Genomic DNA, 20,422 nt, shown 5'->3' with positions numbered 1-20,422 from the left:
ATCTACATTCTTACCAACAGTCTGCAAGAGTTCCCTTTTCTCCACAGGGACTCCACCTTTTAGACCCTCACAAAACCAGTCCACACAGTGCTCTCCTGCACATAGAGGTCACCCCAGAATTGCAGATAGCAAGAGCTGGAAAAGAACCTGGAGATAATCTAATCTGAAACCCTCATTATATAGATGAACGAAAAGAAGCCCAGAGAAGGGCAATGACTCGCCCAAAGCCATTAGGCTGAGCCAGGATTTCCTAAACTCAATTAATGATAACGGCAACAAATAGCTCACAATTATTTATTGCATATATATCTGTTCATTCATAAGCAGCCTGAGGCTACACACTGAGAAGCTGGTAAGTGCCACATGGCTGGAGAGACATATATTTGAATTCAGGGCTACCAAGGCAGCCCAAACCTGAGGGAACTGATTCCTAAAAGAAAGGAAATGCAGAGAAGTGATTCTGAATTCTGGACAGCTCTTGCACTCCAAGCAGTTGCTGATTTGTAAGCAGCAAGCAGAAACCATTGGGTAAAAGGGAAGGATTTTAGCAGTCTCACAGAGATACGGAAACAAAACTTGGAGTTCAGGACCCACCAAGAGGATGCTCTCAGAAACACTCAAGACTTTCAGCAGGGACCCCTTACATTAGTATCCTATTGCAACAAATTACCACAAATGTAATGGCTTAAAACCACACAAAGGTATGGTGCTAACCTATAGCTCTGTAGGTTAGAAGTCTGACGATAATCTCACTGAGCTCCAGTCAAGGTGGCAGCTTTCCCTCTGGAGGCTCTAGGGGAGAATCTGTTTCCTTGCCTTTTCCAATTTGCAGAAGCCACTTGTATTCCTCAGCTGGTGGCCCTCTTCCTCCATCTTCAAAGCCAGCAAGCCCAGATGGAGTTCTCGTCACAGTCCATCATTCTGACCTCCTCCTCCGCCTCCCTCTTCCAGTTTTAAGGGCCCGTGTGATTATGTTGGAGCCACCCCGGAAATCTAGGATATTCTCTATATTAAGGCCAGCTGATTAGCAACTTTAACTCCAACTGCAACTTTTCTTCCTTCGCTGTATATCCCAACATATTCACAGATTCTGAGCATTAGGATGTGGATGTCTTTGGGGAGTCATTATTCAGCAGACACATCCTTGAAGTAAAAGTGACTTAGAAATAGAAAAATTCACACAAAACTGAAACACAGCTGTGAATCTTCTCAATCCCAAACAGGATTAAGGTGATGTACCCCTAGTTTAACAGCCTGCCAGAAGCAGAGATAAATTCTCTTTGGAGAAAGTTATAATCATCCAGATGCTAACTGGATGTTATTCTTATATAAAATCCAAGCATTCAATCAAGGATTCCCAGGTGTACATATATATACAAGACCAAATGACCACTTTCTTTCTTCTCCCACATTAGAATACAAGTCCCCTGTGAACAGGGACTATGTCCAACCTGTCAGATCCCAGAGTTCAGACCAGGCTGTGGTGTATGATATTGCTCTGCAAATGCATATTGAGTGAATGGTTCTAATACTCATCATAGCTGCACCCCAATGGAGAAAACAGTCCCAAGGAGCCAGCTTTGAGCAGGGGCTTTCGGAGCCGGCATCAAATTCTCCTAAGTTCTACACCACCTGTAACAAGGTCACACCTTATCCAGTGCCAGCTCACAACAAGCCAACCTTAAAATATAATAATAACAAGAAGGAAGAAAAAAAAAAAAACAAGCTGCTGATGCTGCCTGCAGCTTGTAACAGGTAGGGTAGCCATTGGGAGTAAGCAGGCCTGTGGTGAGAGGAGAGAGGAAACCAGCAATGCTGAACTGACACCTGATTTCGGATGGTTAGATCTATGTAGAACTTTCATCTTCCCCATCCCTTATGTATTTTGAATCTTTTAAATGTTTCTATTAGACTTAACTCTTCCAAGCTGCCTTCCAGGAAAATTACAGAGAAACTAGGGATGTAGGAGTTCAGAGCCAGGGCTGCTCCATGCTGATGTGAAGGTTACTCTTTCTTTGCCAAACCATAAAGCCTCTGGGAGCCTGCACAGGCCTGCATTAGGCTGGAGGAGGAAGGACCTTTGCTGAATTTGTATGCCAGCTGAGGCACTTTTTCTAATGTGTGCAAAGGCTCAGTGTGTGCAAATGTCAGCCCCAGACCAGAAGCATTTTAAGAAGTATTCTAAAGAGGAGAAATAACCATCATTTATTTGAGTACCTATTGAAGCACTTTACATGCATTATGTCACTTATTCCTTAAAACTCCATGGAGTAGCTATTGCTATCATTTTACAATGAGACTGAAGCTCAGTGATGTTAATTAATTGGGTCAAGATCACACAGCCAGGAAGTGGTAGAGCCAGTGGGTCAGTGTCATGCAAATGCCTAGGTGTTTGGCCACTAAAGCAATTCTGTCTCAACCACTAGTTCTTGTGACCTGCTTCTTGCATGTAATTCAAATTGGCACATTCGAACATCTCAGCGGCTCAAAAAACAAGCATGAGAGGAAAAAGAACACATTTGTTGAACGTGGGTAGCTGAGGATCTGTAGGCTTTGAGTGGAGGCATTTCCCCTTCTCTACCATGTTGGCATCTAATGGTGCCCACCTCTGTGATATTTCCAGAACCCTCACGGGTAATGGGCCACGTAATTCAATGAGACTTTACATGTGAAACAGGTGGAACTGAACAGCACTGTTAGACGGCAAACTAGCAGTTTCCTTTTGGAAAAAGGAAACTGGAAAGACATAAAGATCTTATGTGAAAAGAAAGAATTCCTGGTCCCCCACGTGTCCTTCAGGTTATTCCAACATCATCCACTCCCCTGAGCAGTCTCCACCTACAGGTTGCATGAGTACTTGATAGTATCTCCTGATGATTAAGTTGCTTTTTCGGGATAGTGCGATTCATTTTTAGCTCCTCGTCACTAAAGCAGAGAGCCCAGAAGTCAGCGTGTGTGCCCACGGCATTCGGATCAGGTGAGGTTGCCGAGGCAACGGCAGCCGCGCCTGACGTCACTGAGCAAGCACACCTCCGCAGCCACGCGGCCGCGCCTCCCGCGGGCTTCACTGGCCTGTGTCAGACTTGGTTGATTCCCTGAGCTTCTCCAGAACTCCAAGAGCTGTCCTCCCACTCCCACCCACCTCAGCAAACACAGGAAGGGAGGAAGCTGCCTTTATTAAAAGGCAAAATCAGCAAAAAAAAAAAAAAAAAAAAAAACCAGGACAGGGAACCAGGGAGGGGTCCCGAATGATCCCCACGCGAATGTATCTGTGACTTTGCTTTGGGATCCGAGGAATGAGAAAATGGATAGCAGCGGGAGACTGGGAAGGGGTTTGCGCTCACTCTGTGGGGCAGGAACAGAGGCAAATCTGATCAAGAAAGGTTAAAACCTCTTTCTCCTCACCTCTCTCTTCCTACTTGAAGCCTCAATTAACTTAATCTCTGGGCAAAGCCCGTCAATCAATAAGTATAAGGATTTCTCCCCACGGAAGAAAAGGGTAACCACTGGGCAGAGAAGAGGAAGCTAGAGACCCTGATGCCGTTTTCAGCTCAGCCCCTGTGGTGGAGACAGCCTTCTGCCACCAAAGTTTAGCCATCCCCTTCCATGCTATAAAACTGTTTTGGAGAAGCATTCCCAGCAGCCTCTGCACTCAGGCCCCATGTGACCAGTTCCTACCAATAGGCTCTGAGCAGAAGTGATATAGGTCATTCTCAAATCAAAATGAGGCCATCTCCACCCTCTCTCTCTCCTGCTGCTTCAGGCTAAGATGGCAAAGCAGGGAGATAGAAGGAGCCTTGATCCCTAAATCACTACAGGTGTCCCTCAGTATCCAGGAAGGGTTGCTTCCAGAATCCCCACAGATACCAAAATCCAAGGATCCTCAAGTTCCTTTTATAAAATGATATCGTATTTGCGTGTAACCTATGCATATCCTCCTATATAGGTTAAATCATCTCTAGGTTACTTATAATACCTAATACAATGTAAATGCTATGTAAATAGTTATTATACTGTATTGTTCTTCTCCATTTTTTTTTCAAGTATTTTTGAGCTATGGTTGGTTGAATCCACAAATACAGAACCCATGATACAGAGGGCCAACTGTCCATTGAACACAGCCATTGGGTTGCTTTGTAAGTTAGAAACAAAATTCTCTTGTGGTAGGCAGCTGGGATTTCAGAGTGTCTCTGTTACGGCAGCTAGCATTAACTTACACAGCCTTATCACCAGCAAGGTTAAGCCAATGACACATGCCTTGGGTTCAGAGGTGCCAGCACAGCTGGGCCATCAACCAAAGCTGAACACAAAACTTGCTCTAACTAAAACAAGACATATTACAGCAAAACACCTCAATGTGGCTGCTTCCAGGGCACGGGAGAGATATTAGGCAAGAGGCAGACAGGGCAGTCAGTCGAGGCAGGGAAGTTTGAAGGAAGATGAATTTGTTGAGGCTGAGGCCTCTGCTCAGTCCTCAGGTCATATGTGTGTCTCCCTGAGCACACTAGAAGCCACTGACACAGAGACCCTTAGAGCAGCAGCTAGGTATGGAAACTACCGTGAGGACTGCTGTGTGCAGTTTCATAGGTTACTGCACAAAGACATGTAGCCAAGAATGTAAGTGGGGGCTGAAGTACAACCTGCCTTTTTCTTACCAAACCAGGCATTCTGGCTTCGAGTTGAGTTCGCCTGAAGAAAAGGCTTAGGACTGCCTCCACCTGATGCTTTTAAAAATGTATGCAGAGGTGCCATTTGTGTCTAACCTCGCACCTATGGTAGCACTTTATATGCCTGGCATGAGGGTAGTGGGCTGGTAGTAGCCTTGACCTTTGTGATTCTTGAAGGCCAGGCCACGGAGTTCTCACTTCCAAGCCAGCATCAACAAAAAGTCACACGCAACGAAAAAAATTCTCTAATGACCAAAGTAAAATTGAAAAGCTTGATGCCACTGCTAAATGAAAAATACATTATCTCTCTCTTCCCTCCTTATCCCTTTTCTCCTCCTCAACCCAGAATCTTATCCATGCTTAGCTAAATCCACTTTCCCTTCCTGCAAGGGAAAAGACAGGAATGCTCTTTGTTTCAAAGGTCTAGAGAAAGGCGCAATAAATTTCACTCCTAGAGGCCCTGATGTGCTGCTGGAGACGAGAATAGGGACAAAGCAGGCCAGCAGCAATGGAGACCAGGCCCAGAACAGCCGATGGGAGAGAAACTGGGAGGTGAGCATTTGGCGGAAGGCTACAAGGAGGACAAGGACAAGTGAGATTCCAAAAACAATCCATCAGAGATGCAATAGAGGATGAGGTCATTTGTATGACAGGATTCTCCCACAGAAGACAAGTAAGACAATCCCAGCATTTTGGGAGGCCGAGGTGGGGGGATCACAAGGTTAGGATATCGAGACCAGCCTGGCCAACATGGTGAAACCCTGTCTCTACTAACAATGCAAAAATTAGCTGGGCGTGGTGGTGGGCACCTGTAATCCCAGCTAGTCAGGAGGCTGAGGCAGGAGAATCGTTTAGACCCAGGAGGCGGAGGTTGCAGTGAGCCAAGATTGCGCCATTGCACTCCAGCCTGGGTGACAGGGCGAGACTCCATCTCAAAAAAAAAGAAAAAAAAAGAAGAAGAAGACAAGTAAGACTTTAAAGAAGTGAAAGAAAACTTACACAGAGGCCCATGTAAGGAAATATCAATATTTCTTGGCAAATTAATCACTGAACAAGAATTACCATTCATAAATGACAGGGATTTTATAGGAAATTGACACAACCTTTTCTGAAAGCCAATTTGGTTCTGTCTATTAAAAATTTAAATACTCAAACCTTTTGATCTAGCAAGTCCATTTCCAGGAACTTACACAACAGAAGTATTCCAACACTGGAAATGTCTAGACAAATCTGTACAGAGGTGCTTGTGGTTAATAAAACGTACATTTTTTAGGTGTATTTCCCATGAAATTTTGTCAGTCCTTTTTATTAGAAACTATGCATCTGTGAGGTGACTTGGTTAGGATTCAAGATGCTATCTGACCTTGTAAAGGAACCAAGACCTGGTATTTTACTAATTGTTTCTAAGCTGATCTACAGCACTGGACTTGAACCCCTTGGGAGTCACATCTTAGTCACTGTTCATTTTCAGACCTGTTTCAGAGCCGGGAATATAGTGGGTGCTCAAGTGCTATTTGTTATATGAATTCATGATTTAAGTGGGCTTGGTTCAAATTTAGTATCTCGCCTTCATTAGCACAGTATTCTTGAAGCAGAGTCAGTGGGTATCTGTTTTACTCCGGATTGATCTGCTACTATAAGCTGTGTTCTTACTCGCCACTCTGTGCAGTTGCTGGTTTAGGAAGGGGCAAATGAAGGGGTTCAGGAAAGGGAAGAAGGAGAATACAGCTGGCAATTTAAGTTCTCGAGATGAAATAAGTTGGGATTTTTAGCTTGTTTTCCCTACCTTGAACTTCCTGAAATTATATGCACCCCATTTCTCTGGGAAAGGTATATGGTTTTCATGAACTACTCAAAGAATTCAGGTCCATGACTTTCCAAAATAAACATCATTAAGAATCACTAAACCAAGGGATTTTTGATGCAAAAATTAATGTGATTAGACAACCTGTGCCAAAGAGTAATATACTAAAGGTGATAGACAAACAAGTGTGAAAAGGCCAAGGTCACAAACAGACCTACAAATGACTGTAAAATAACTCACACTGATGTTCCAATTTTCCCTTGCAACCCTTTAATATGCTATTTCAAAGCATTACAACTTAAAAGGATGTTTATTAACTACCTACTCAGCTCATAAACTTACGTTAACATTGTTATATACCCTAACTGAATGTGAAAAGTCATTTTCTGACTTCTAAAAAACTAAGATGGAAAGAAAATCTCAGAAACTGACAAATTGAATGCTTAGAATATCACCTATAAGAAAACATAACATAGGATGTTTCACTACACCATCTGCCTTAATCATCAAATTGTTACTCAAATACTTCCAGGTAAACAGTCAAAAGCAGCTGATTTGCTGTGACAGCATTACATTAAACTTAGCAAGTGAAGGAGGAATGCTATTACTTCGTTTCCTAAATCCTCAGAATACTGGCTTCTCCCCATCCAGCACAACCAACTATTATTTTACCAAAACAGCAATCAATTTAGCCTCAACTTTTTTGCTTTTACAAAGCTTTGCTACTTGCCAATTTGATTAGCTTTCAAGGTGTCTTTGGTGTTCCTGATATTTTGTAACGAACCAAAGTTAGGTTTAACAGAAAGAAAATTTTGGAAATTTGCCACAATGTGTATGTTCATACATACCAATATTAAATTAACCATTATGTTCCCAATGCTTTTCTACTATAAAGGAGTGGATAATATGGCTTTTTCTGAGACAGAACTTTCCACCTCCCTCCACTCCTTATCCTCCCATCACCCTGTTGGCTCCCATCCTTACCACTGACCTACAAGTTAACAAATAGCTATGTTTGAAGCCACCTAGACCTCTTCCCAGGAAGATGACAGAATCACCAATACCCCTTATTAGCACTTATCTGCCTGCTTCATCATGCTAAGTGTTATAAAAAACAAATTAATCAGATGCAGCACTTGGTCTCTAGATGTCTACCAATCAAGCAGAGAAAAATCTGTACTTGCATACAAAAGAGACATCTGAGTATAGAATGGCAGAAAGAGAACTGACCTGGAGGACAGTACTCAGTTCAGAAATTGCAATTTAGTTTGACATAAGTTGAGTGATACAATAGTTATTAGAGAATAAATAAATAAATCCACACACATACAGCCTTTGCATTTTATAATATGTTAAGGCTGCTTTTAAGATCAAGCACTGCTGCCTGGGACTTGTAAAATGGAGGAAGCATAGGCCAGTAGAACAAGTACTGAACTGTGAGCCCAAACACTGGGGCTCTGAGTCATTCAACTTCTGCGTTCTTGTCACTTTGTCTCTTCCACCTATAAGAGTGGTGATCCCTAAAGTCCTGATATTGACTATCTTTCTACTATCTCAATCTTTCCTTTCTCTTGACCTTGGACAGAGTGAGAGGCTGGGAGAGCTAGGGAAACACTGAAGCAGCTACAGAACCTGATACCTGAGGCACATAATAGTGGAGAACCCAGTGGCATTGATTTGGTTGAGAAGTGCCCAGTCCAGAGCCAATGTGCCAAACCCAGCCAGGAAAGCTTGGAAGGAGGGGTGAATGTGGAGGCCAAAATATCTGGACCATAAGGGCTAATGCAGGATGACTATGCTGGTGCTTGTTGTGCATATTGCACAACTCCAGGGGGCACCATTTTCTCATAATCATTTTAGATTTGTATAGTTATTTTGACAAACTTGTGGAAGATATCAGAAAAGCATCTTGAGGAAGGATGTTATTTTCTATCCCATACTAGGTTTCAACCTGGACTAGATGACAGGCCTGATAGAGGGATGAGATGAGCAAGCCAAGCCCCAAGGGATGGTTCAAGGTTGGACCCCATGGCTTTAGGAGCCCAGCCTGGAAGCACACACTTCCAAGGTTACAACTATCACCACCTTGCAGGTATTGCCCAAATCTCTACCCCTAAAACTGACCTCTTGCCAGCCTGCTCTATAAGTCCATCCAGAGATTCTCTACTAAAGCTCAAGGCACCTACTCTACTCCTCTTCTTCCAACCAAACAAGCTCCACCTGCTCACTTCCCACTTCTGCTGAAGGCCTCATAGTTCCTTCATTGCTCAAGTCTGAAATCCTGAAATCAGCTTCAAGTCCTTCATCCTTCTTCAACTTCAGTATTCATCCAGAGACCATGCCCTCTTCCTTTGACAGCCTCTTGCATCTATCCCCTCATTACCAGACCTCCTGCCACCACCCAATTCAAATACTCATCTCCTCTCCTCTGAATCACACAATACCTTCCTAGCTGGTCTTCAGAGCACCAATCTTCCTGCTTCAATACATCGTGGATAGGGCTGGCTAATTGTCCTAAACCACTGCTCTAAACACATCACCTTCTGCCCCTAAACTTCACTAACATCTTCCTGCTTAGTGAATCAAAATCAAACCACCCCCAAATGGCACAACACCACGATTGCCCCCACTCATGTAGGCAACACTCAGCAATACCAAAATCCCTTATTTTTCACAGTTAACCAGCCAGTGACCTAGGGAAACAATATCTCTAAGTCTCAGTTTCCTCACCTGTTAAATGGGGATATTAACAGTACCTACTTTTAGAGCCATTGTGAAGATTAAATACAGTAATATATGGAAAGTACTTAGCATGCTACATAACTGTCAGTGTTGATAATGATGATGATGAAGATGGTCTCCCCGAAACACCCTTCAAATGGCTTCATTTAACCTCTGACTCACAATTGTTCTATTTTATATTCAATTTCAACCAAATTCACCAGCTATTAGGCCCAATAAATGCATTTAATATAGTCACTTGTTTTTCAGTTCCCCCTCTAGCTTTCCCAAACTTGCCTTCTCTAGCCCTCAAGAAATGGAAGCTTCTTGGACAGAAGTGAAGTAATGGGGAGTCCAATCCACTTATATCAATGCTTTGACCAGACCCTTTCTTTCATGTAAAAATCATCCAAACCAGGCAGGGCTCACACCTGTAATCTCAACACTTTGGAAGGCCAAGTTGGGCTGATTGCTTCAGCTCAGGAGTTCAAGACCAGCCTGACCAACGTGGCAAAACCCTCTACAAAAAAATATAAAAATTAGCTGGGTGTGGTGGTGCACACCTGTACCTACTCAGGAGGCCATAGGTGGGAGGCTCGTTTAAGCCAAGAAGTTAGAGGTTGCAGTGAGACAAGATCCCACCACTGCACTCCAGCCTGGGTGACAGAGCAAGACCCTGTCTTAAAAAACAAAACAAAACAAATTATCCAAACCAAATTTTCATTAGAGAAGCAAGGAAGACATTTTGTCTCAATTCTTGAAAATGTAGGTCTTACTTTCTAATAACATTTAACTATGTATTTTTAAGAGTAAAATATGATTCTTTTAAGAATGAAATGGAGACTTAAAATAGTTGAAAAACAAACTGTCTTCCCAGAGTATAGAGAATTAGAGTGATAGAGTGAAAAGAATATGAAATTCAAATTTAGATAGCTCTTGGATACAATACTAGCTTCTCTACTCCCTAGCTTAAGCTCTGCTCAAGAGAATGGGAACTTGAGTGTAAATCAAATGACAGGCATCCAAATCTGGATACCATCCTTGCTAGGAAATTACTCTCTGAATCTCACTTTCCTCATCTGTAAAGTGGAGATAATGATACCCACTCTGTAGGCTGTCATGAAAAGTAAGTAGCACAATCTGTAAGGACCCAGCAGAGAGTCCAGCTGAGGTACCGTGAGGGTCTGCTCTGCCCACACCCGTTGCCCACCATAAGTACTGTGGCTTAAAGAATACCCGTTGCTAGAGAATGGGCTTTGCCTTCAAGCATGTATAGATGTTTCTCTGGGCTGCACATCTTTGGAGTTAAAATAAGAGTGATGGCAAGGTTTGGCCATTACTAGTATTATTAGTATTAGTATTAGTCCCCTCGGGCTACTTACCATAGCAAAATTCCGTAGACCAGGACTTAAACAACAGAAATTTATTTTCTGTTCTGGAGGCAGGAAAATCCAAGATCAAAACACTAGCCAGGCAGGTTTCATTCCGAGGCCTCATCTCTCAGCTTGTAGGCAGCCACCTTTTCACTGTGTGGTCATGTGGCCCTTCCCCAGTGCCTGTGGGTGGGGAGAGAGAGAACGAGTTCTCTGATGTCTCTGCTTATAACGCCACTAATCCCATCAGACCTAGGCCCCACCCTCATAACATTATCTAACCATACTTCCTTCTCAAAAGCCCCATTTCCAAATACCATCGTATTGAGAATTGGGGCTTCAGCATCTGAATTTGGGGACAAGGAGGGCACAAACATTCATTCCTTAGCATTACTTAACACTGCCCTTACTCATCATTAGAGAATCCCAACCTCCCTCCTAAGTCAACATATCTACTGGGGAAATCCCCAAAATATGTCTCCATATGTGCTCACCAAAGTGTACTCTCGGCCACCACGTGGCTTCAGCCATTTTTCTTCTCCCCTGCTGCAATGCCTGAGGTCTCTGAAACTCAAAGGTGATGCCAAAGCACAAAGTCTCCATGGACACCATGGGAGAAAAGCCTTCAGCATGGCCAAGGCCACAGCCTCCTGTTGTTTCCTCTGAATCTGCAGTGCCAGCCCCAAGAAGCTGCTCCTGGTGCCAGAGCTACAAATGTGCCAATGCCTCCCATCCCACCACAGCCAGGGCCACAGTGTCTGACCAATAATGCAGTAGAAGCCCTCCCAACTTTGGGCTGGGCTGTCTCCGAGATTTCAGAAAACAGTTTCCTCTTCTTCAATATTCAGTGGAGCACTCTGTTCACTGCACACAGTGTGGCACTTGCAGGAGCCCAATAAACATTGTTTAACATGCAGTGGCCTGGGCTAGACGGAGTCCTGCAGAATGAATGCTACACTCAAAATTGTCCTTTATCTCTGACCTCCAAGTCATTTTTCTTTTTTTTTTTTTTTTTTTTTTTTTGAGATGGAATCTTGCTCTGTCACCAGGCTGGAGTGCAGTGGCACGATCTCAGCTCACTGCAACCTCCCACTCCCTGGTTCAAGTAATTCTCCTGCTTTGGCCTCCTGAATAGCTGTGATTACAGGCACGTGCCACCACACCCAGCTAATTTTTGTAATTTTAGTACAGACGGGGTTTCACCATGTTGGCCAAAATGGTCTGGATCTCCTGACCTCGTGATTCACCTGCCTTCTTCAAAAAAAGCTTGTGTAGCTCAGTTCTCTCTCCCTTGGGGAAGACAAGTAGGTTCCCCAAACCAGAGCTTTCCAACAAGCATGCTGCAGATAGATCACTGGTGTGCCAGGAGATATCCTTCCCCTGAAGTCTCCAGGGTTGCTGGGCTGGCACTGAAGGTCAAAAGCTGCAGAGCCAGACCCCCTGTGCAGACAGCAGCCCCTCAGTTTACCTCAATGTGGCATACCATGGCGATCATTCTCTATGTAGACCATGAACAGGAGGAGGTTGAGAAGCATGTCCTCATGCTGAAAGATCCCCAGCAGGCCCTTCTCTCATTCTTCATGTCTAGACCCTAGGACAAGCTGTGCTTAGGTTCAAGATGCCCTCCCTACCAAGAATTTGTGAGTGCAGCATCATCTGAGTCTGTATCCTCATTTCTACACATGCACTGGAACTCACCCCTTCTTTTGTTTCCTTCACACTTCTCTCAATCTTGCCCTCAATTGTTTTCTCAATAGCTTGACCTCTTCATTTGGACTTGACCCCATGCCCCAGCCACATTGTCCCCATTCTGCTGCCCCGTCCTCATCGTTGCATCTTCGCAGTAATGTATTCTCTTACCAATGTTTGAATGGAATTCCTTAAAATTGAGTGCAAAGAGAAAAGAGACTTTGCATTTGGGGGTAAATTTTTAGCAGAACCCACACACTTTGCTACTATTAAAAGCCATACTATAAAATCAAATACTGCTCAATTAATATCTTTAAGCAAATGTACGCATTAACTAATCAACATCCATGAGAAAGAGAGCTGAGAGGGAAATTATGCATAAGGGCAATTCTTCTGGTCAGGTAGCTCTGATAGTCAATGAAAAGGAGGGTAGAAAACATTTCTGTGTGAGGATAAACAGCGGATACCTCACCTGCCAGGAAGCACTTGAAATTCACTCACTCTTTTAACTTTTTTTTTTTTTTTATGATAGGGTATTGCTATGTTGCCCAGGCTGGTCTTGAACTCCTGGGCTCAAGCGATCTTCCCACTTTGGCCTCCGAAATGCTGGGATTACAGGCATGAGCCACGGCGCCCAGTCCACTCTTTTAACTTTCAAGGCTGACAGCTCCTTAAATGCAACTAGGTGGTGATTTCTCTACAGAACTGTGTTACTTCCCTAACTAAAACCTTCCTTAGTTTGTTCCACTCATTCCTCACTAAACTGTGGGAAATAAGAATCAAACTTATCTCTCCCAATCATCTTCCAAATGGAAAGAGAATGACACTCCCTCTTTCAAAAAAGAAGGGGTTGCTTCCTGCTATACATGATTTGCTGTACGTAGATTGATCAATATTGAAAAAAGAGGTTTACATGCACAAGGAAAGAAGTTGAAGGGGAATATTTCCCTGGAGGGTTCATTGGAGGTATTTTTGCATGTGTACAAGTGGATTCAATATTACTGCAACATGATATTTTCAATTTATTTATAAGAGATATTTAAAAGCAACAGGCATTGTACTCTCTGGGGACAGAAGTCCCCCAAGGCCAATTCCTGCCTTCACCTTAGCCTCACGGACAGAGTTCCCATCCTGACCCTCTGTGACACTTTACAACTTAGTGAGATTAAAAAAGAAGGACAGACAGAATTGTGGAGGTTAGCAGTAATGGAAATTAGAAGCATTTTGCAGCCACCCTTTTATTAAACCTTCTTCCCTGGCTCTTCTCTCCCAGCGATCATAGTACTCGTGTGCAGGATTAGAAAGTTCTCTGGCACAGAAGCACCTTTCTGATATTTCAGTCTTCACCATTCATTCCGTTGACATAATTAAGGCTTTTTTTCTAGACTCTCTCTGAAAATGCAAATATCCCAGAGACAGAAAAGTTGAAGACATGCTAAGGAATCAAGGTTTCAATGAGATAGAAAATTATACTGGTCATAATATTTCCATGGTAATTTACAGTTGATTAAGCACTTTCACAGGTATAGCCTTATTTGATACTTACTAACAAACATATGACTTAGAAAAGCAGGACATATTTTTGGTATTATCATTTCCATTTTACATAAAAGACTCCTGATAACCAGAAATATTGACCCAACACTCCTATCCTATGCAAGTTAAAGAGCTGATTACAGACTCAACACGAGATTTCTGCCTATCCAAGAATGGAGCTGGCCACAGTCAGAGTCATTCTCACTCTTCCCTCTCCCTTGCCTCTCCTGCTCCCCACACTGATCAGTCCCCAAGTCTGTGGCCCCAGAATCCCAGCTGTGCCTGGGTCCCAAGTCCGGAGACCCTCACCAATTTTCTGCCTCATTTTCCCGAAGTCAGGCAATTGCCTAAAGGACCCTGGGTCCTGTCCTTCCTTCCCTACCCTGCACCAGCAACCCCACTCTATACAATTCAACAATAACAAATTTTTATTGAGTACCTACTGTGCGCCAGGCTCTAGGCATTAGGATACAACATTGTAGGATGAGATCCAAAGGTCCTTCCTCCCAATCAGGACTCTCTTGCTTGGTTACCTGCCAGAGTTCTATGGATCTTTATTTCAGTGGTGAAGGTAATGATAATGCCTAAGAGTTGCTGGAGAAATTACAATGCATGAGTGACTATTCTCAGCATTTGACTTATGGTAACTCATCCAATCCTTATAACAGCCCTATGAGGTATTATTCATATTTAACAAATGAGAAAACTGAGACAGAAGGAGGTTGCCTAGTAAGACTGCACACCTAGTAAGAGGCAGAGCAGAGGTAGACAGAGGAACCTGGCTCGCAGTCTACACCCTTATCTCTTAGGCTAAGCTGTAAACTGGTGGAAGCAGTGGAAAGAGAAACAACCTTTAAACCAGTATGTATTAATATAATACTTCTCTGTGCTCAGGCTAGGAAGATAGAAATGAATCTAAGTGCCTCATAGAAGGAGCTTCCTTTCTCCACCTCCTTTCAAAGACAAGGCCCACCCGTGCAAACACTTCTCCAGCAGCAGGGAGGGCCCCAGGCCTCCAAATTTACTGTTCATTTGCCCATTCTGTCTGCACACCCTTGATCTGGCCCTGCCTTTCTGATCACCACTAATGCTGGGCCCTGGCTCCCAAGAATCTCCCAAAGCCCCCTTGGTCCGATAACACTTTGGCTGTGTGCCTCCAACTCAACCCAACACTCTGAGACCCATTTCTGATCATCAGCTCTCAGCCTTCACACTCTCTGACTTATGTAATAGGTCAGCCCATCCCAAATTAACCTGCACCTTCCCCCACCTGGAAGTGGGTTAAAATACTAGCTCAGACTTACTACCTATCAGCACAATATGCATGCTTGACTCATATTTGTTCCTTTGATTCACTTTCATTCATTTATCCCTTCAACAAATAATGTGCACCTACTATGGGCTAGGCATGTATAACATACTTTACATGCATTGTACCTTTAAATTCTCCCAAGGACACCATTAGGTTTCTATACTTCCATTTTATACATGATAAAGCTGAGTTCTCAGCACTTTTATCAAAGAAGAATTTGCTATCCACGAGCAACTTGAGGTGGGCCTACCTTTCACCTTCCCGCCCCAGGCCTTCAACAGGCACTCGGCAGACAGTTGTTAAATTGCGCTGGATTAACAAGCCAGCTGGGCACTGTGTGCAGCCTACCTCCTGATGACCCCCAGTGGAGATCTTGCTGTTCAGGGCCCTCTCTTGTTCATATTCACTTAGTAAAAATTGGCCTGGATGTCTCCTGCATTATCAGCAACCACCAGGCACAGTACCCAAGCTTTGCAAACTAGGAATGTTTAAAAATTTAGCTCTTGCCACATCTCTAGCAGAACAGAACCAAAAGCAATCATCTGACGTTAGGAGGTGCCACACACAAGCAATGAGGACCTCTGCCAGCCCAGCTTCCTCCTGGGGAGGTGAGCTTTCTGCCTGGGCACATGGAAAAATAACATGTATGATATGTGCTCTTTTCTTTGCCCTGGAGGCCTTGACAGCCGTCAGCTCTGTTCTGACAGGTCCTAACCATAATGAACCAGTAATGCTTCTTCAGGTCCTTGCTAAGCATTAGATCCCTAGGTGATGCTATGTACCAGGGGAGATCACCCAGAGACTCTGATCCCAAGGCAGCAGCCTTATTGGGGGATTTTAGCCCAGGATTTTCTCCAAACACAGGGGCACTAAAAGTCAGGCCTGACCTGACTGGAGGGTTTAGAATTCAGAGCCAATTGACCAAACACCTCCAAAGAGAAAAGCAAATGGTTTTCTAAAGACAGTGGTTCTTGCTGTTTCCTCTTAGGACTCCATTAATAAAATAATAATAAAAATAAAGTCTCATTAAAAGAAGATATTTAGTGCTCGCTTCAGCACACATATACTAAAAAAGAACATATTTAGAACAATTATTCCCTTCAGCAGGTTGTAATTCCTGTAACTCTCAGGGAACAGCTTTGGGCTCTGCATCGCGACTCCCACGCAGGACACAATCTGTCTGTCTAGAAGGGAATGAGTCAGCCTGCAGCAGGAGGGAGGCAGGCTGCAGCATCCTCCCCATGAAAAGTCCACAGCCAACCTGGGTTTTCTTACAAGATGAGCTTTTTTTTTTAAAATTATACTTTAAGTTCTAGGGTACATGTGCACAACGTGCAGGTTTGTTACATATGTATACATGTGCCATGATGGTGTGCTGCACCCATTAACTCGTCATTTAGCATTAGATATATCTCCTAATGCTATCCCTCCCCCCTCCCCCCATCCCACAACAGTCCCCGGTTTGTGATGTTCCCCTTCCTGTGTCCATGTGTTCCCATTGTTCAATTCCCACCTATGAATGAGAACATGCGGTGTTTGGTTTTTTGTCCTTGCGATAGTTTGCTGAGAATGATGGTTTCCAGCTTCATCTATGTCCCTACAAAGGACATGAACTCATCATTTTTTATGGCTATAAAGACACATGCACATGTATGTTTATTGTGGCACTATTCACAATAGCAAAGACTTGGAACAAGATGAGCTTTTAACCCAATAAGCAAGTCCCTTCTCTCTGTTTTCAAAAGAGGAGTGTCTCAGAGGCTTCCTTATTATAAAGGAAGTGTCCTGTCTCAGAAGCCACTGTCCCACTCCAGAGCGAGACTGATGCCCACTCAACTCTTCCCCAGTCTGGGTTTGCAAAACGCAAAACTCTATATACACTTTTGACCTCTCCTATCTGTCGGTCCCTCATGCCGTCACTATTTCCAGCTATCAATCTGATTTTGCAGGACTTCCTGATGTGCACTGCAGGCATTTTGAGCATGAATTGCATGCTAAGCCTTGTGTTAGGTGTTAGTAATTTAGGCTGTGAAGGGTGAAGAACAGGATCTTCCTGGGTCAGGCCCAGTGGCCATTATTCCTTTATCTTCTCACCCTTCAGCAACAGACAGGCCTTATCGCTGAAAAGGCAAAGCTGAACACTGGCACGTCATCCCCAGTTGCAGAATTCCTTCCTTCTCCCAGCCCATTGCCTCTCTGCGTTATTCTCCCTAGAGGCTCTGCCCCAGGAGCAGAGCCATGAGTGAGGGGCCAGGCCACCTCTGTATGGCCAGAATCCAGAGCTGAGCTTGGGAAGCTCCTCTTTGAGGCTGACTCACGCCTGACAGAGGAGCTGATTGGACACTCAGGGGTCATCATCTCCCCGCATCCCCTTGCTGCTGGGGGTGTTTCCTAATGTCCACCCAAGATGTTGCCTCTCTTCCCTATTCTGCCTTAAGGGGAACGATGCTCCTGCATGGGGCATACTGACAGAGTTCTCTGCCATCAAGGGTGTGTAGACTGGTGCTGCACCTTCCTCCTGTGCCCCACGCCCTCCTGCTTTCTGTCCATCTGACTTTTTCCAGTGCTTTCCACTGTAGCCCTCGGGAGGCACTTGGCTCAGTCATACATAATTCTGACTGTCATCGTCCCTCCTCCATTTCCTCAGTCAGCTCTGTGACTTTCTCCTAAACACCCACAAATGTGCATCTATTCCAGCAGCTAAAAAGCCTCAGTGTGCATAAGGCTCTCCTGACCGCACTGTGAAGGAAGCAACTGCCACTTCCAGAATCAGAGATAGCAGCGTCTTCCAGTTTGCTGAAGATAATGATTTTCTTCTTACAGCCCCACCCTTTTCAAGGGCAGCTCTTCACAGCTCATTTTCCTTACCTGGCCCAGGTCTTCCCTCACTGTGGCCAGAGTGGTCATTCTAACATTTCTTTTTTTTTAACCATCTCCAAATGGTTCTTTATTGAACACCCACTTTGGCTAGGCGACATCCTCCCCCTGCCCTCTAATCCAGGCTCAGGTACCCGTGCCAGGAGCATCCTCAGAAGGCACCTTCCCAAGACCAGGAGTACTGAGAGACTGGGCAGAGGGTAAGGAACAGCAGGGATAGGGAGGAAAAGTGAAGACGCCAGGGAAAGAGGAGAGGCCTAAACTGGGCAGCTGATGCTTTTTCCTGCCCAGCACCCATTTGTCCCTTCTTCTGGTAATCTCATCCACCACCATACCATCAGCACCAACTCTCAGTCTCTGTGGATACACATGCCAGGCCTGTCCACTCAGTGTATTCCATCTTTTGGCCACAGTGATGACTTGAGGCTGGATACCTTCCTCGTGTGGACCAATGAGAACTAAATCCAGCAGTTCTGTCAGCAAATGGGAGCTCTTTTTACCAATAACTGGTGCTGTGGGGCCACACCATGGAGCCCGAGAATAAAGCCAACTCAAAGGAAAGCAGAGCTGAGAGCCGAAGAGACAGATCCCTGTTTGGAGTTCTGGGATGCAGCCCAAAGCCCAATCTAGCCCTGCCTTTTCAGCTATGTGAGCCATTAAATTCCCTCTGCCCCAAGCCCACTGGAAAGAGTCCCAATCAAGGTCCTTCCCATCTGGTTGTTCTTCAGGAAGTATTCTGAGGACAAGGAGACTTTCTTCTCTAGGGTTATAAAAGTAATTTGTGGTGACGGACTGTTCCTAGGTCCCTAGGGTGAGAGCCACCATGGAGACAGAGTCCAGCTGGCCTTTCCGAGGATACACACTCACGACCATCAACATCTTCAAATACATCAGCACATAATTATAAACTCCTACTGTTCGTAGTAGCTATTGTTTTTGTCTTCCTAGCACCTTGTTTTGGAGGAGAAAAGGTCATGACCCAGATTGGATTAATCACGTGGCCAAACACGCATGGCCACAGTGACTGATCCAAGAGGGCATGGGGACTCACAACAAACCACTGAGAACTTTGGGAGTTTCCGAATTAGAACTGGACTGGAAGAAACCTTTTATTCAGGACCCTCAAGCTGGGAGGATGCAGGACTGGAGCTGTCAGCTGTTATGGCCCCAAATGGCACAGAGAAGGCTCACGTGCAGCAGGAGGAAAGGAAGCCAACACAGAGGCCTGGTTGAGTTTGCTTGTCGTCTCCCAGTGGCCATTCTCCCCCCACTCCTTTTTACTAGCAGAATCTCCTTCCTCAGAGTTTTGGCTGCCCAAGTAGAAACTAAATTTGCAGCCTCCCTTGTTGGTAACTGTGGTCACATGGCAAGACAGTAGAAACCTGGGTGCCTGATGCCATCATGGAGCCAGCCACTTGCCTGGCCTGGACCAGGTGACTATCTCTGCACTGTTAAGGTAGAAAGAAATTAACTTCCATCTTGTCTGAGCTATATATTTTGGTGGTTTTAATGTATAAATGTTTTTAAAAACTGACAAACTAGAAAGGAGTTCTACATGGAAATAGTGGAAATGATTACATACAGCTGTTCTATTTTGCAAACCCCACAAATGGACGTTAAGTCAGGATAGCTCGTGCTAAATTCTAACCTTCAAGGCTGAACCGTTCTGCCCTATTCACTTACAGATCAGAGCATTAAGCAAGGCCAACCTTCTCAGCCCCTCACTTCTAAATCTTCCTTCTAAGCTAAGAGGTCAGAGCAGAACCAGGAAGGGTTGTGCTGTTGGCCAGAAGGAGATGGTCAGAATAGCCCTAGCAACTTCATTTACTCCTGGGGCTCTGTGCCCACAAACTGATTTCAAGAGTCCTTCATGTATAGATGCAAATGGTCTCTAAGTACAGACATTTTGGTGTGAATTGTGGAGTTTATGGCAAAAACAGGGTAGGCTGAATTTTTCTAGGCCAGGGAGCAAGAGTTCACAAATGCGGTGTCTTCAATGAAATAAGGTAAGTACCTTGAGGCAAGGAGTAACCACCTGACTAACGCATCCACATGAGAGAATCAAATCTAACACTTGGCAGAAGTAAAATCTGGGATGCTGAGGTCCCCACTTTTAGTGAAAGCCAAAGGCCCTAGGTCAAAATGGTAAAAAGCCTTTTACTAACTACCCTAGGACAGCTAAGGTCCTTTTAGGAAGAAGAGAGAGAAACACTAATCACCCCTCCCTTCAAGTTTTAATAGCCAACAGGAATCTGGGCTCTGAAAAGTCACAAACACCTTTTCCCAGGATTATGAGCAATTGCAACAACTGGCCAAATGTGTTAACAGCAGAAAAGCTGGGCATTACCTGTGTGGGAGGTGCTCGGCATGGGCAGTGTATGGCTGTGAGCAGCTCACCAGCTACATAACCTCCACACCAGGAGGGTGCTGCTGCTGTGCAGGC

General features: G+C 44.5%; 1 non-coding gene across 1 annotated transcript, besides 4 other annotated features; it reads right to left on the bottom strand.

Annotated features, from left to right (window-relative positions):
* Window positions 1,775-2,356: an enhancer, noted in NCBI's record as "OCT4-NANOG-H3K4me1 hESC enhancer chr1:168357239-168357820 (GRCh37/hg19 assembly coordinates)". NCBI's record gives its function as "activates a minimal SCP1, AML or CMV promoter by ChIP-STARR-seq in naive H9 embryonic stem cells {active_cell/tissue: H9 hESC(naive)}" and the evidence as "EXISTENCE:reporter gene assay evidence [ECO:0000049][PMID:30033119]".
* Window positions 2,357-2,937: an enhancer, noted in NCBI's record as "OCT4-NANOG-H3K4me1 hESC enhancer chr1:168356658-168357238 (GRCh37/hg19 assembly coordinates)". NCBI's record gives its function as "activates a minimal SCP1, AML or CMV promoter by ChIP-STARR-seq in naive and primed H9 embryonic stem cells {active_cell/tissue: H9 hESC(naive and primed)}" and the evidence as "EXISTENCE:reporter gene assay evidence [ECO:0000049][PMID:30033119]".
* Window positions 2,938-3,519: an enhancer, noted in NCBI's record as "H3K4me1 hESC enhancer chr1:168356076-168356657 (GRCh37/hg19 assembly coordinates)". NCBI's record gives its function as "activates a minimal SCP1, AML or CMV promoter by ChIP-STARR-seq in primed H9 embryonic stem cells {active_cell/tissue: H9 hESC(primed)}" and the evidence as "EXISTENCE:reporter gene assay evidence [ECO:0000049][PMID:30033119]".
* Window positions 3,054-3,113: an enhancer, noted in NCBI's record as "active region_2060". NCBI's record gives its function as "activates an Ori minimal core promoter by ATAC-STARR-seq in GM12878 lymphoblastoid cells {active_cell/tissue: GM12878}" and the evidence as "EXISTENCE:reporter gene assay evidence [ECO:0000049][PMID:35858748]".
* MIR557 (microRNA 557) lies at window positions 14,736-14,833 on the bottom strand. The gene has a single exon (NR_030284.1). It is a non-coding gene; the product is annotated as a microRNA 557 (primary transcript).
* Between the last annotated feature and the right edge of the window lie 5,589 nt (window positions 14,834-20,422).

Source organism: Homo sapiens, chromosome 1 (genome assembly GCF_000001405.40).
Source record: "Homo sapiens chromosome 1, GRCh38.p14 Primary Assembly".
Taxonomy (NCBI): domain Eukaryota; kingdom Metazoa; phylum Chordata; class Mammalia; order Primates; family Hominidae; genus Homo; species Homo sapiens.
Note: the sequence above shows the minus strand (reverse complement) of the source record. Positions and strands in the feature narration are given on the sequence as shown.